General features: G+C 45.5%; 1 protein-coding gene across 15 annotated transcripts in view, besides 3 other annotated features; it reads left to right on the top strand.

Moving 5' to 3' along the window:
* Positions 2,931-3,170: an enhancer, noted in NCBI's record as "active region_3771". NCBI's record gives its function as "activates an Ori minimal core promoter by ATAC-STARR-seq in GM12878 lymphoblastoid cells {active_cell/tissue: GM12878}" and the evidence as "EXISTENCE:reporter gene assay evidence [ECO:0000049][PMID:35858748]".
* Positions 3,181-3,240: an enhancer, noted in NCBI's record as "active region_3770". NCBI's record gives its function as "activates an Ori minimal core promoter by ATAC-STARR-seq in GM12878 lymphoblastoid cells {active_cell/tissue: GM12878}" and the evidence as "EXISTENCE:reporter gene assay evidence [ECO:0000049][PMID:35858748]".
* Positions 3,590-15,424, top strand: part of IDE (insulin degrading enzyme) — a 122,410-nt gene continuing 110,575 nt past the window's right edge. For 9 of the 15 annotated variants that reach the window (NR_136399.2, NM_001322794.2, NM_001322793.2 and 6 more), the window contains exon 1: positions 3,590-3,761. Coding sequence is in view for 8 of the 15 variants with exons in the window: in NM_001322794.2 (NP_001309723.1) it covers positions 3,664-3,761 (98 nt within the window). In the remaining 7 variants the exon portion in view is untranslated. Of the gene's footprint in view, positions 3,995-4,050; positions 4,771-15,424 lie in introns of those variants that run through there. The other 6 variants (XM_017016190.2, XM_047425169.1, XM_047425172.1 and 3 more) reach the window with 3 other exon arrangements.
* Positions 3,741-4,190: a silencer, noted in NCBI's record as "silent region_2617". NCBI's record gives its function as "represses an Ori minimal core promoter by ATAC-STARR-seq in GM12878 lymphoblastoid cells {active_cell/tissue: GM12878}" and the evidence as "EXISTENCE:reporter gene assay evidence [ECO:0000049][PMID:35858748]".

The raw sequence follows: 15,424 nt of genomic DNA, 5'->3' as shown, positions 1-15,424 counted from the left end.
TGCCCAGCTAATTTTTTAATTTTTCTGTAGAGACAGGGTTTCACCATGTTAGCCAGGCTGGTCTCAAACTCCTCACCTCAAGTGATTCACCTGCCTCATCCTCCCAAAGAGCTGGGATTACAGGTGTGAGCCACTGCACCCGGCCTATTTAAAAAAAAAAAAAAAAAAAATTCTTGCCCGGGCGCGGTGGCTCACGCCTGTAATCCCAGCACTTTGGGAGGCCAAGACAGGCGGGTCACCTGAGGTTGGGAGTTGGAGACCAGCCTGATCAACATGGAGAAACCCGTCTCTACTAAAAACACAAAAATTAGCTGGGTGTGGTGGCGCATGCCTGTAATCCCAGCTACTTGGGAGGCTGAGGCAGGAGATTTGCTTGAACCTGGGAGGCGGAGGTTGCGCTGAGCCAAGATCATGCCATTGCACTCCAGCCTGGGTGACAAGAGCAAAACTTCGCCTCAAAAAAAAAAAAAAAATTCCTTTTCTTTCCTCTGCTAAAACATCTGGGGGGACAAAAGATATTATTTTTCTGAACATTACCAATTAGGAAATAAACGCCAATCTGTCACCACTGGGCTTCCTTTTTAAGTTTTTTTCTTTCAATCATTAGGAACTCCTGACTCAGCTCTATGGTGAACTCTATTCTATCTGGGCTAATGGAAGGAACTTACAGCACAGATAAACACTAATATTTGGCTTCCAGTATATCAGAATACTTATATTTGAATATGTGTCTAGTTTTCCTATCTAAGGCAAAGAATGACTTCAGCACATTACTTTTTCTGCTTCTAAAAAAGTTGTAGGCCGGGCATGGAGGCTCACGCCTATAATCCCAGCGCTTTGGGAAGCTGAGGTAGGGGGGATCATGAGGTCAAGAGATCGAGACCATCCTGGCCAGCATGGTGAAATCCCGTCTCTACTAAAAATACAAAAATTAGCTGGGCATGGTGGCGTGCGCCAGTAGTCCCAGCTACTCTGGAGGCTGAGGCAGGAGAATCACATGAATCCGGGAGGTGGAGGTTGCAGTGAGCCGAGATCGCGCCACTGCACTCCAGCCTGGTGACAGAGCGAGACTCCATCAAAAAAAAAAAAAGAAAGAAAAGAAAAAAAAGTTGTCTAGGTGGTTTACACCTTATACTTGTTTGAGTGAGAGTGGGAAAGATTACACCCTAGACCTTCACATTTCCTACTTTTTCTCATCATTCTGGGGTCTGCCTGAATGTCACTTCCTCAAAGAGGCCTTTCCTGACCACCTGTTCCTTCATATCACTTACTCACTTGATTATTATCTGTTTTTCCCACACAGCTAGAAGGTAATCTCCATCAAGACAGAAACTTTTGTCTTTTTTGTCCACTGCTGTATTCCCAGCACCTTTATAATACCTGGTATCTGTAAGGCATTCAACAAATATTTGTCAAGTCATAAATGAGATGAGCAAATCACAGGTTTTGGAATAAGACAGTCCTGGGTTCAAATTACAACTCCACTCTTTTTGTCCAATTGTTGGCAAGTTACTCAACCTCTCTCTGCCACAGCTTCCTCATCTCTGGTAGGTGAGGAAATATCCATTACAGAGGGTGGTCATGATGACTAATGAAGGAGCCATGTACAATGCCAGACACAGAGTAGACTCTCAAAATTGTTACTTTTCTTTCCATCCACCTCCTCTTTATTGAGATGATAGTTATGAGACTATATTAATATTAATCTTTCTTATCCAGGACATCTACTCCAACCAGAGGGAAATTTATCATGAAGCTAATGAAGTTTAAACTTCAGGGCTGCTCACTTGCACAGGCTCCAAACTGGGAGTTGTAGAGGGAAAGCCAGTTGTTGTCTGGAAGCATTTTTTTTTTTTTTGAGACATAGAGTCTCATTTTGTTGCCCAGGCTGGAGTGCAGTGGCGTGATCTTGGCTCACTGCAACCTCCGCCTCCAGGGTTCAAGTGATTCTCCTGCCTCAGCCTCCTCAGTAGCTGGGATTACAGACGCATGCCACCACGCCTGGCTAATTTTTGTATTTTTAGTAGACACGGGGTTTCACCATTTTGGTCAGGCTGGTCTCGAACTCCTGATCTCGTTATCCGCCCGGCTTGGCCTCCCAAAGTGCTGGGATTACAGGCATGAGCCACCACGCCCGGCCATCTGGAAGCATTTTTATGTAAGCATTTCTAATAAGTAGCCTAAAGAGATCTCAGGAAAAAAAAGGGTACTAATCTCCAAGTCTCGAGTATTTGTTGTGATGTATTTTCTCTCTATAGTAATCTTCTGATTGCTAATTTTGTATTTATAATTTGTATTTTATGTCTCAAAGAGGTCCCCCAAATTGTATATGTTTCAAGCCCTCCAAGTCTGAATCTACCCCAGCCCATTTATAGATTCCATTAATGGAGCATAAATGTATTCAGAAAGGCTGCATTAACACTCTCAGAGGAGCTGCTTCAAGGTGATTGACTACTCTGCATTGGGACTGGTAATTTAAAGGTTCTTAAAACCATGCACTTGCAAACACCACTAGGAGGCTTGCCATAATTTTTACCTGTTTTCATCCAAAGGTTTGCCTTTAGGTGAAACCGCACTGTTAAAAAGATCGTGGGTACGTCTTCGATAAAGCATCAACTTGATTAAGGAACCCTCCTACTGAATTCCCATTTAAAGCAATACTTGGACTAAGGACACCGTTTTTGGCTGCAGTCTTGATCGTCTGTCAATCAGAAACCTAAAAGTACTTAAGCTGGCAAGTCACCATCCCTAATAGCATTCTTCCTTAAAGACTCCCATAAGGTATTATGGAAAGTTAGATTCATAACAACTATTAAGTTGTTCGTGGGTGCAAAGCCCCATAAAGCCACTGGGGAGAAAATTCTTTGTTTAAAAAGTAACCACTGAAGCCGACTGACATTAGTAGTATTCCTAGTACGGAGTACTAACAAGAGTAGTAGTTTCTACTCTGGATTTGAAGCCTTGTTTTGCTGCGGCGCCCGTCCCATCCGCACCTTCCTCTTAAGAGAGCTGCTAACTTCCCCAAGGATGGAAACGTCCCCCTGGGTCCTGGCCTCTCTATCGCTGACCCCTGCGTCTGAATTTCCCCCACGCCGCACTCGAGCCTTGTCTCCAGCGCATCTGTGCCTTCGCGGTCCACGTCCCCACCGCGCTCTAGAGGGAGCCCGCGGGCCGCGCGCCGGCCGCGGATTCATTTTACGTGAGGCCGCCGCGACCACGAACCTTGTTCCAACACCTGCAGGGTCCGGCACGCTAGTCAGTGGGGGTGCCTCAGAAAACATAGCCCCGTGTGCCCTCACTGGATTTATGAGCGGCCCCTCGCCCCCTCACAGTCAGACACACGTCGCCACCCTCACAAGTGCGGCCGGTGGGATCTAGCTGGGACCCTCCCCGCCTGGGAAAGTCTGGGTGCTGGCTCCTAAAGCGCCCCGGCCAAACCCCTGTCCCTCCAGTCCGCCTGCTCAGGCCTCGGCTGTCCGCGGTCTTCACCGTCCTCGCCTGCGTCCTGGCCCCATCCGGCTCCAGGCAAAACCCGGAGCAGCTACCTCTCCGCAGCTCCCGGGAGACCGCGCGGCGCCGCGGCTAGAGCATGCGCAGTGCGCAGGGCCGGCTCGAAGCGCAAGCAGGAAGCGTTTGCGGTGATCCCGGCGACTGCGCTGGCTAATGCGGTACCGGCTAGCGTGGCTTCTGCACCCCGCACTGCCCAGCACCTTCCGCTCAGTCCTCGGCGCCCGCCTGCCGCCTCCGGAGCGCCTGTGTGGGTAAGCGGAATGGAGCGCCCGGGCCCTCGGGCCCCGTGGGTCACAGCGGTTTGGCGCTCGGGTTGCAAAGTGGTGATTCAGCACTTAAAGCCGCCACCGCTGCCCCTCACGCCGCCCGTCCCGCCGGCCTGGGGCCCGTACTGCCGCGCTGAGGCCGCCCCAGGGCCCGGAAGAGCGGCTCGCCAGGCGGGAGCCAGAGGCCTGGTCCAGAGTCGGGGACGTCCCTTGGGCTGGTGAGGGGCCGGGGCCGCTACCCGGGGCCACGGGGCGTGTGCCACTAGTGCGGGGGGCGCAGGGGCGGACAGAGTCACCCGGCCTGCACCTGGGAGCCGCGCCGCGTCACTCTCCCGGAGTCCGCCTGTGAGGGGGCCGGGAACCTGAGGCGGACTCGAGCCGTGGGGTAAAGGAATCCGGCGACTTCGGGGGGACCGCTTCTCACCTTGCCCTCAGCCCTGCCCTTTTCTCCGGGCACTGAGTTTCCAGGACCGTGTGGAATGCCCGCGCTGGGAAAAAAGTTTGCCTGCCTCCCGCCTTGGAAGACGAGTGTGGGGTTTCCTATCGGGGGACATTTAGGAGCCAAAAGATACCTCGGGATCCTCTACAGCAGCTCCCTTGTTTTACGTCGGAGACAACCGGAGCTCCGAGAGATGGCTTGATTTCCCAGCAACTGCCGAGATTGTGGCAAAACCAGGATTAGGACACAGGTTTTTTGCCATCCGGCGGCGTGCCCTCTCCACTGCACCGTTGATCTGCGTACGCTAGGCGTTTTCAGGCTTGTAGTGAACGCTGAATACTTTTTACTACGAATGGAAGAAGATAGGCAGTATTATCTTGCCCTCCCTAGAAACGTTATTTGAACCCCTGCTGGTTTTAATCAGTAATAGCCAGCACCTACTAAGTGCAGGGCACTGTGCTGGACCCTCTATGTAAAGTATGTGTCTGCCTTCCAAGGAACTTTGACTTGATTGGAGCGGATTGGGATGCCACGGGAATTGAGATAGCTACAAGGGTGTGTTGATGAGGGTCAGAAGATGGGTAGTATGGGTAGTGTGTGGGGCCAGAGATGGGGGGGTAGGCTGGCTTTGGAAGGAATGGCAGAAAGGTTGGAGTGAGGGCTGGCGTGGGCGTAATCCAGCCTAGATATGCGGGCAGTTTGTGTTGGGGGAGCAGTGAGCCGATTAGTCTGGTTGAAGCTTTATAGAATTTCCTTGGGGTAATTAGAAGGACACAAGTCCTGTATTATAACAGTAGGGTAATGCTGGCCTGGGTCTTGAATTTTAGTTGGGATTTTCCCAATGCGTAGTAGGTAGGGAGCCATTAAAGTTTTTGAGCTGGAAAGTTATCTGATGGAACTGGGGGTTTAGGAAAGTAGTTTGGTGGCTGTGTGCAGGATGTCAGGAAGTGGAGAGAGTCCTAAGGCAGAGAAACCTGTTGGGACTTAGTCTTTACTGCCTGTATTAGGATGGTAGCAGTGGGGCACTAAGATAAGCTAATACAAATGAAGACTCTATGGAACTTGTTCTCCTCTGTTTTCCACTACATCACAAAATCTCCTATAATGTGCAAAAGACCCCTGAACTTAGAGAATCAGGTGGTAAGCACAGGCAGGATGCCTCCTTTTGTCCTCTTTTGTGTCAGTCTGCTTTTGTTCTAAATTCATTACTGATAGGCTAGGCTTAGCTGTCTCCATACTGTCTCCAGCATATAGCATTTGTGATTTTTAAAGAAAGCACCAATTTTAAGTTTTGTATAACTAAGTGGTTTGTATGTTCTAGTTAAAATTACATTTTCTCTGTAGTTATAAAGTCCGGTCGACCATCCAGAGTTTTAAGATATGTTTTTCTCAAAGATGGAAATTTGAGAGATTCAAAGCATAATGAATGAGATGAGCCAGCTAGAAAGCTCTACCCTAAAATCAGTGAGTGAGGCTTTTGAGGAAAATACAGGTCCAACCAAAGGGATTAGGGCATAGTTTTAGGAAGGAAAGCACTAACATCTGAAGCTACCACATATTCTCATCTTAAGGAATGCAATCAGCCCTACTGTACATAGTCGGAAGAATGTCTTAACAGAGATAGCCACACAGCTATTTGCTGGAAGAGCTGGGATTTAACCCATGTCTATCTGGCATCGGAGCCTGAGCTCTTAACTGTTATGTATTTGCAAACACAAGTACTGCCTCTGCTGGTATTTGGGCATTCATTTTCTGGTCTAACCTCTTGAGACAGAGATGGTCTTAAAGCATTTATGTAAGATCAATCCATTTACAGAGTAACCTCCTTGTTCTGTGTTCAGCTGTATTTTATAACTTGGGACTGTGTGGAATTATCTGAACTACTGGGGCACCTGGAGATAATAGCCCATTCCCTGGCAACAACTTGAGCCACCTGGGCATCAGTCATCTCACTTTGCAGGCAGCCCTACTTTGCATTTCCCTGTTCCATAGGCTTAGGAAACAGTGGTATGTCAGTTGGGACTATCAACATTCAAGCTTTTAAACTACTGTCAATCAGAAAAATGCCTTTTAATAGTGTAAAAGAACAGGGTACCCCTGAAGTTTCTTTAACCTAATCCACACATTCTGCCTGTCTTGAAAGTTAGGGTTGAGGCCAGGTGGGGTGGCTCATGCCTGTAATCCCAACACTTTGACAGGGCGAGGTCGGGGGGATCACTTGAGGTCAGGAGTTCAAGACCAGCCTGGGCAACATGGTGAAACCCCATCTCTACTAAAAATACAAAAAAATTAGCCGGGCGTGGTGGTGGGCGCTTGTAATCCCAGCTACTCATGAGGCTGAGGCAGGAGAATCGCTTGAACCCGGGAGGCTGAGGCAGGAGAATCGCTTGAACCCAGGAGGCGGAGGTGCAGTGAGCTGAGATCGTGCCACTGCACTCCAGCCTGGGTGACTGAGCGAGACTGTGTCTTAAAAAAAAAGAAGTTAGGGTTGGGGACAGTCTCCCCAGGGTAGGGGAGAAAAAGTTCAGTATGTTTTCTTTTTTTTAAAGTTCGAGACAGGGTTTCACTCTGTCGCCCAGGCTGGAGTGCAGTGATGTGATCTCAGCTCACTGCAGCCTTCATCTCTTGGGTTCAAGTGATCCTCCCACCTCAGCCTCCTGAGTAGCTGGGACTGCAGGCTCATGCCACCACCCCACAACTAATTTTTGTATTTTTGGTAGAGATGGGGTTTTGTCATGTTGCCCAGGGTGGTCTCAAACTCCTGGGCTGAAGCAATCCCCCTGCCTCCCAAAGTGCTGGGGTTACAGGCATGAGCCACTGTGCCAGGCCCAGTATATGTTTCATAAACACTGGTTTCCTTTCTGTTTTTCTGTTGGTATTTTATATCTCCTAAACATGTAGCCAGAGGATCAGGCTACCTTTTAGCCAGGATGACAAGGCTAGAGCACTTTCCCTCCACAGGGGTAGATCCTCTATAGATATGTTAGGTTCTGGAGCCTTCTCATTTGGCTTGTCTTCAGTCTGTTTTCACTGTTCTGTTAGTTTAGACATTATTTGAATGTCTACTCTGTAGTGATCACACACTGTGTCCAGTACTATGTAAATGCAAAGATAACCATAAATCTTGTCCTCAAGGAGCTTTCAGTAATAAACAGTAAACTGCTTTACCTCTGACCTTTTACTAGACACCTCCACTTTTATGTTTTGTTGTTTCTTTCAATTAATTTTGAAAAACAACTTAGTATTTTATCACCATACTGATTACTTTTTTAAAAAGTGGGACTCACAAAATTATTTTATTCTTCTCAAAGAACTGTTTAGTTTCTTTTTGCCTATTAAAAGTGTAACTTTTTTTTTTTTTGAGACTGAGTCTTGTTCTGTTGCCCAGGCTGGAGAGTGACACGATCTTGGCTCACTGCAACTTCCACCTCCCGGGTTCAAGTGATTCTTCTGCCTCAGCCTCCAGAGTAGCTGGGATTACAGGTGTGTGCCACCACACACAACTAATTTTTGTATTTTTAGTAGAGCTGGGATTTCACCATGATGGCCAGGCTGGTCTTGAACTCCTGACTTCAGGTGATCTGCCCACCTTGGCCTCCCAAAGTGCTCGGATTACAGGCGTGAGCCACTGCGCTCGGAATAACTTTTTAAAGTAGGACTCACAATCTGCTTTCTGAAGGGAAGGCATCACACTCTGCCTGACACATAGTAGGTACTCAGTACATATTTACTGCATAACTTAATTGATTAATGGTCTTTTTTCAAAACAATTTTTTTCTGTAGAGTCCTTAGTTTTGCTATGTTGTTATCATTTTTTCAGTTTAGCTTGAAAATGAGAGTTTTCAGTTTAGCTTGAAAATCTTTGAATCTTTTTCCCTCATTGCCTATTCCCAAGACCCAATCCTCCTGAGTCTTTCATCCTAAAGATTCCTAAAGTTTCTTGGAGTGATCTTGACCCTCATCACCATCCTAGTTCAGGCCATGATCATCTTCGTAACATCTTACATCAGTGAGATTATCTCACCTGAACAGGTTTTAGAACTGACTTTTCCAGCCTTCTGTCTCCCTACTAGTTGATTCTTATCATCACATCAGATTAATAAACCACTTTTCCCAAGCTGTTGTCTCGCCTAAATATCACCAGTGGTTCTGTGCTATTTCAAGATCAAGTTCAAACTTCTTGACCCAGCATGTAAGCATTCTGTTGGCTGGCTTAGCCCAACTTTTCAGCCTAACTCTTCTCCAGTCAGACTTACCAATTTGCTGTCTCCTTTTACATGACCTATTCATTCCCAATTCCGAGATGCCCTTTCTGTCTTTTCTTTATATGACTAAATCCTTTATTCTTTTTAGGCCTTGTTATACAGGTCACACAATTACTCTTCCTTTTTCTCAACTTAATAATTTTTAAAAACATTGTGAAACATCTATTTGATGTTTATATATTGCCTCTTATTTTTTTACTCTCTTATTTAATATTGTACATGCCAGAGTATATAGGACAAAGAAGAAAAAAACACCTGTGTACCATCTACTTTAGGAAACAAACATTTCCAGCAACTTTGAACCTGTCTGTGCTCACCTGTCCAATTATAACTCTGCTCCTCCCCTGTAAAGGTATTGTTATTATTATTATTATTATTTTTTTTTTTGAGAAAGAGTCTGCCCTTGTTGCCCAGGCTAGAGTACAGTGGCGCAATCTCGGCTCACTGCAACCTCCATCTCCCAGCTTCAGGCGATTCTCCTGCCTCAGCCTCCCAAGTAGCTGGGACTACAGGCGCGTGCCACCACGCCCGGCTAATTTTTGTATTTTTAGTAGACATGGGGTTTCACCATGTTGCCCAGGCTGGTCTTAAACCCCTGACCTCAGGTGATCCACCCACCTCAGCCTCCCAAAGTGCTGGGATTACAGGCGTGGGCCACCGTGCCCGGCTGTATTATTCTATATTTGGATAACAATTTCCTTAGTTTTCTTTATAGTTTTATCACATTTGAATACTTCTTAAGCAGTATATTGTTTAGTTTTATTGTTTATTTTAGTTTTATAGCTTTTGACCTTTATTGCAAACTTTTCTGAGTTACTTTTTTTCATTTAACTTTCATTTAACATCATTCATAAAGATGTATGAGTTCACTGCTGAATGGCAGTCATGCAAGTATGCCCTGGTATCATATTGATCATTGCAAAAATTCTGTAAGATAGGCCTAATCTATATTCTGACAACTCCCAAATGTATTTCTCTAGCCAGAACCTCTCCCTCAAATTTCAGGTTTGAGTAATAAACTTCCTACTCAACAATGTGAGTCACACTGGTCTACTTGCTTGACTTGCTCTTACCTCAGATCATTTGCATTGTTTTCCCTCTGCTGAGAACACCCTGCTGCTAGTAAGAATGGCGAGAGCTTTGCAGAGAACATAGGATTTGAACAAGAGTCTTTGAAGGAAATATTGAATTGGATGAACAAAGAAGGAGAGTTGAGAAAATATTTTATTTTTTGGAGACAGGATCTCACTGTCACCCAGGCTGGAGTGCAGTGGCACGATCAAAACTCACTGCAGCCATGAACTCCTGGGCTCAAGTGATCCTCTCACCTCAGCCTCCTGTAGCTAGGACTACAGACTTGTGCCACCATGCCTGGCTAATTTTTAAAATTTTGTAGAGGCAGGATCTTGCTATGTTGTCCATACTGATCTCTAACTCCTGGCTTCAAGCAATCTTCCTGCCTCTGCCTCCCAAAGTGCTGTGATTACAGGCATAAGCCACCACAACCAGAAGAGAAAATATTTTAGATAGAAGGAATGGTATTAGCAAAGGTTCAAAAGTAGGGAAATTCACAATATCAGCAAAGGAAAGTGAAATTTTGTCTTATTGGATATAGAGAACCTCAGATGCTTTTTGAGCAATTCAGTGACATATGAAAGCTGTATTTTTGGCTAATTAATCTGGCTGTTTTTTGTAAGCACTGTTTGAAACGCAGGCAGAGACTGATGAGGGATAAAGAAGGTAGTACAAATGACAAGGAAAGAAGAGTGTCTGCAGAAGACATGTGCAAGAAGGATTCAGCAGAGTTTAGTTATTGATTGATGTAGGGACGATGTGGGAGTCAGAGAAGCCTGAGGTCTTGAGCGTGAGTGACTTTGAGTCTAGAATAGGAGGGGCCACCAGGGTAGGGAAAACTCTTGTCGGGGAGACCCAGCTCTGGGAAGAAGTTCAGCTAGGTGAGATGTTTGTCCTGCCTGGCAGGTGGCAGGTTTTCCAAAGGCATACCAAGAGAACGAACCACTGCTTGGGTACAGCAGTGGGCACAGTCTTGTAGGCACTTTTGGGCTGGCTGTTACCCTCAGGTCCCGTAGGGTAGTGGACAGGACTGAGCGGTCCTTAAATACCCAAGGGAATGAAATCTAGTTTGTAGATTGGTAGCTCAGGGACTAGTTCAATTGAAAGATCAGAACCACATTGATGAATACTGACCTACTACTGGGGTTTCTTATTTGTTTTGCTTAAGGATAGGAAATGGATCCAGAGCCTAGAACAAGTCTGACCTGTGCTGGGGTCTAAGTGGATTCAGCTGTAACGCTCTTGCTGCTGCTGACGATGTTAACCATAAAAGATTTAGTAGCTAATATTTATTGAATGCTTATTGTATGTTATGCTTTTTTGGGTGGGGGGTAGTCATCCCCTCAAGCATTTATTCTTTGTTACAAACAATCCAATTAAACTCTTTTAGTTATTTTGAAATGTGCAATTATTATTGATTATAGTCACCCTGTTGTGCTATCAAATCCTAGGTCTTTTTTTTTTTCTTTGGTACCCATTAACCATCCCCACCTGCCCTCAACCACCCACTACCCTTCCCAGCCTCTAGTAACCATCCTTCTACTCTCTATCTCCATGAATTCAATTGTTTTGATTTTTAGATCCCACAAATAAGTAAGAACATGTGATGTCTGTCATTCTGTGCCTGGCGTATTTCACTTATCATCATAACCTCCAGTTTATGCATTTTATTAGGAGCTTTGCCTATGTTGTGTGTGTGTGTGTGTGTGTGTGTGAGAGAGAGAGAGAGAGAGAGAGAGATAGAGTCTGACTCTGTCACTCCTAGGTGGAGTGCAGTGGCGTGATCAGGGCTCACTGCAGCCTTGACCTCTCTGGGCTCAGGTGATTCTCCTGCCATCTCAGTACTCCCCTGTTTCCTGGGTAGCTGGGGCTAGTAGCTGGAACTTGGCACATACCACCATACCTGGCTAATTTTTTGGAGTTTTTTTTTTTTTTTGTAGAGACAGGATTTCGTCATGTTGCCCAGACTGGTCTTAAACTCCTCGGTTCAAGCAGTCCACCTACCTTGGCCTCCCAAAGTACTGGGATTATAGGCGTGAGCCACTGCACCTGGCTACATATGTTGTCTTGTTTAATGGCCACGGTAATTATGTGGGAGAGTGGTGGTGGTAGTCTTTTTTTTTTTTCTTTCAGATAAGGATATTGAAGCTCAAAGAGGTTAACTTGCTCAAGGATACACAGCTAGTAAGTGGCTTAGCGAGATATGAATTCAACTGGGCTCACTCAAGAACCTCAGGGGTTGGCCATTATATTGTCTTCTTCCTAGAGGTAGCACGATATCTTTAGTAGAGATGGGGACGTTAAAACAGGGAGATTTTTTAGAAAGAATATACATGGTAGTTGATGATATTGAGTCTGAAGTGATTACTGGATAGCCAAGGGGAGATCTGCAGGAAGCATTTGAAATATGACTGGAACTTGGTAAGAAGGCCTGAGCTGATTTCCTAAATCTGAAGATAGAGTTGAAGACACGGACATGGATGGATATAGGAAAAATAATCTATGTTTAGATGCGGTGGGGGAGGGGGCAGCCTTGACAATGCTCACATTTAGGTATAAGAAGGAAACATAGTTGGAGAGGTTGGGAGTTAGAGAGGTGGAAGATGATATCGGAAGTGAAATAGTCTGAAGTTCTAGCCAAAGAGATTTTGGGGAGAATAGGGTCTTGAGAAAAGAACAAATACCATTTCTTTCTTTCTTTTCTTTTTTTTTTTTTTTTGAGATGGAGTCTCGCTGTGTTGCCCAGGCTGGAGTGCAGTGGTGCTCACTGCAACCTCTGTCTCCTGAGTTCAAGCAATTCTCATTCCTTAGCCTCCTGAGTAGCTGCAATTACAGGTGCCCACCACCATGCCCAGCTAATTTTTTCTTTTTTTTTTTTTTTTTCTGAGACAGAGTCTCGCTCTGTCACCCAGGCTGGAGTGCAGTGGCGAGATCTTGACCCACTGCAGCCTCCGCCTCCTGGGTTCAAGCAATTCTGTTTCATCCTCCTGAGTAGCTGGAATTACAGGCGCCCGCTACCACGCCGGCTAATTTTTTTATATTTTTAGTAGAGATGGGGTTTCACCATGTTGGCCAGGCTGGTCTCAAACTCCTGACCTCAGGTGATCAACCCACCTCAGCCTCCCAAAGTGCTGGGATTACAGGCATGAGCCAGCACACCTGGCTACTGTTATTTCTTGATCTCTTAATTTTAGAAATTTTCTGTTGCTTTGTTATGCCCAGCTATTTTATTTTTTTAGAGATGGGGTCTTACTGTGTTGCAGAGGTTGGTCTTGAACTCCTGGCCTCAAGTGATCGTTCTGCTTAGCCTCCCAAGTAGCAAGGATTACAGGTATGAGCCATCACACCCAACTGTTTACATATTTCTGATTCTTCCCACTTGATCTTATGGTCCTATGGACATTTAGTACAGTTTCAGTTTTTTTTTTTTTTTTTTTTTTTTTTTTTTTTTTTTTTTGAGACAGTCTCGCTTTATCGCCCAGGCTGGAATGCAGTGGCGCAGTCTCGGCTTACTGCAACCCCTGTCTCTCGTGTTCAAGCATTCTCCTGCCTCAGCCTCCTGAGTAGCTGGGACTACAGGCGTGTGCCACCATGCCCACTAATTTTTGTGTTTTTTTAGTAGAGAGACAGGGTTTCGTCATGTTGGCCAGGCTGGTCTCCAACTCCTGACCTCAAGTGATCTGCCGGCCTCTGCCTCCTAAAGTGCTGGGATTACAGGTGTAAGTTACCTTGCCCGGCCTAGTACAGTTTCTTATATGATCAAATCTATTAGATGATCTATTGGTTCCATATTTTCTCCTTGGAGACTATCCTTCAGGACACTTTTTCCTTCTTGCTGTAGTTTGAACTAGTTTTCTCCAGGCTTGCTACAGAATGGTTGCCTGGAATTTCCCTTTGCTTCTCTCCTCTAATGGATCTGTTTCCTGGTTCTCAAATTTTTTTCTTTCTTGGCTTGCTCCTTCATTCAAGAGTAGTTGTATATTGGAACAAGCTTTCATGTAAAGACTACATGGGAGATAACTTTTTGTAGATCTTCTGGTGATTTCCAAACAGAAAAGTATAGATCTGGGTCCTAGTGTGAATCTACACCTTTGTAGAATAAGACTACAAAAGTGAGAGAGATGACCTGAATGGCTTCCACTCCCTCCATCTAGCTCTAGAATTCTAGTATTGTAAGTACTTGGGAATTAAGTTATTTTACAGGTTATCTAGCATATGGTTAAAGCAGCAAGCTTTCAGGGATATCCTTTGTGAGACTTTGACAAAAAAGACATATGGCTTCTTTTTTCCCCTCCCTTTAAAATTGAACTTTAAGATTTTTTTAATTGAACTTAAAGATTTGCTTTTCTTTTCTTTTTTTCTTTCTTTTTTTTTTGAGACGGAGTCTTGCTCAGCTGCCCAGCTAGAGTGCAGTGGCGTGATCCCGGCTCACTGCAACCTCTGCCCCCTGCCCCAGGTTGAAGCGATTCTCTGCCTCAGCCTCCCAAGTAGTTGGGACTACAGGCGCGTGCCACCACACCCAGCTAATTTTTATATTTTTAGTAGAGATGGGGTTTCACCATGTTGGCCAGGATGGTCTCAATCTCTTGACCTTGTTATCTGCCCGCCTCAGCCTCCCAAAGTGCTGGAATTACAGGTTTGAGCCACCATGCCCAGCCTTTTTTTTTTTTTCTTTTTGAGACAGAGTCTCACTCTGTAGCCCAGGCTGGAGTGCAATGGTGCAATCTTGGCTCACTGCAAACTCCGCATCCCAGATTCAAGTGATTCTCCTGCTTCAGCCTCCTAAGGAGCTGGAACTACAGGCATGCACCCACACACCCAGCTAATTTTTGTATTTTTAGTAGAGATGGGGGTTTCACCATGGTTTTTTCCCCCCCGAGGTGGAGTTTTGCTCTTGTTGCCCAGGCTGGAGTGCAATGATGTGGTCTTGGCTCACTGCAACCTCCGCGTCCCGGGTTCAAGCAATTCTCCTGTCTCAGCCTCCCAAGTAGCTGGGATTACAGGCGCCTGCCACCACGCCCGGCTAATTTTTGTACTTTTAGTAGAGACGTGGTTTCACCATGTTGGCCAGGCTGGTCTCGAACGCCTGACTTCAGTTGATCTGTCCACCTCGGCCTCCCAAAGTGCTGGGATTACAGGCGTGAGCCACTGTGCCCAGCCAGGGTTTCACCATGTTGACCAGGCTGGTCTTGAACTCCTGACTTCAGATGATCCACCCGCCTTGGCCTCCCAAAGTGCTGGGATTACAGACGTGAGCCACCACACCCAGCCTGCTTTTCTTTTTATGGAGGAAGTAAATTTGAAATTTTGCTTTTAAAACAAGAAATAATGAAAACAAACATTAGTCACCTGATTTTCCTTCTTTTTTTTCTTTCTTGAGTTGGTGAAAGTTTCTCCCTTCCCATTGTTGGGCTACTCTGTGGTTTCTGTATGCTCTGCTGATGGCCAATATAGGCTGGGAGTGTTGGATAACATTTGGTCCAGGGTAAAATATTCTTGAATTCAGCTTCTGTTCCAGGAAGATATCAGTAAGATTGACACCTGTTCTAAGTTTGTACTCCAGACTACTTTAAACTGCCATCCAGTTGAAAAAAATGCCTTATTCTCTCTATAGTCTATCCATTTGGGAGCCAGTGTGATGTAGTGGAAAAGTCACTCTGACTTGACACTTGGTTATTCTTTTTATCTTGAATTGGTTAGTTTGCATGAGTCTTTTTCCTAGCCACCAGACTAAGTAGCTTCAAATATCTTTATTAATCCTACCAAGTTTTGGTTTCTGAACGTTGCCTTCTACAGGTGCATAGTTCTTTTTCCTTTCTTGTGCTTACATATCACTAACTCCTCACTTGATGTTGCTTTTATTTTAGAGA

This window comes from Homo sapiens, chromosome 10 (assembly GCF_000001405.40).
Source record: "Homo sapiens chromosome 10, GRCh38.p14 Primary Assembly".
NCBI classification, from domain to species: Eukaryota; Metazoa; Chordata; class Mammalia; order Primates; family Hominidae; genus Homo; species Homo sapiens.
Note: the sequence above shows the minus strand (reverse complement) of the source record. Positions and strands in the feature narration are given on the sequence as shown.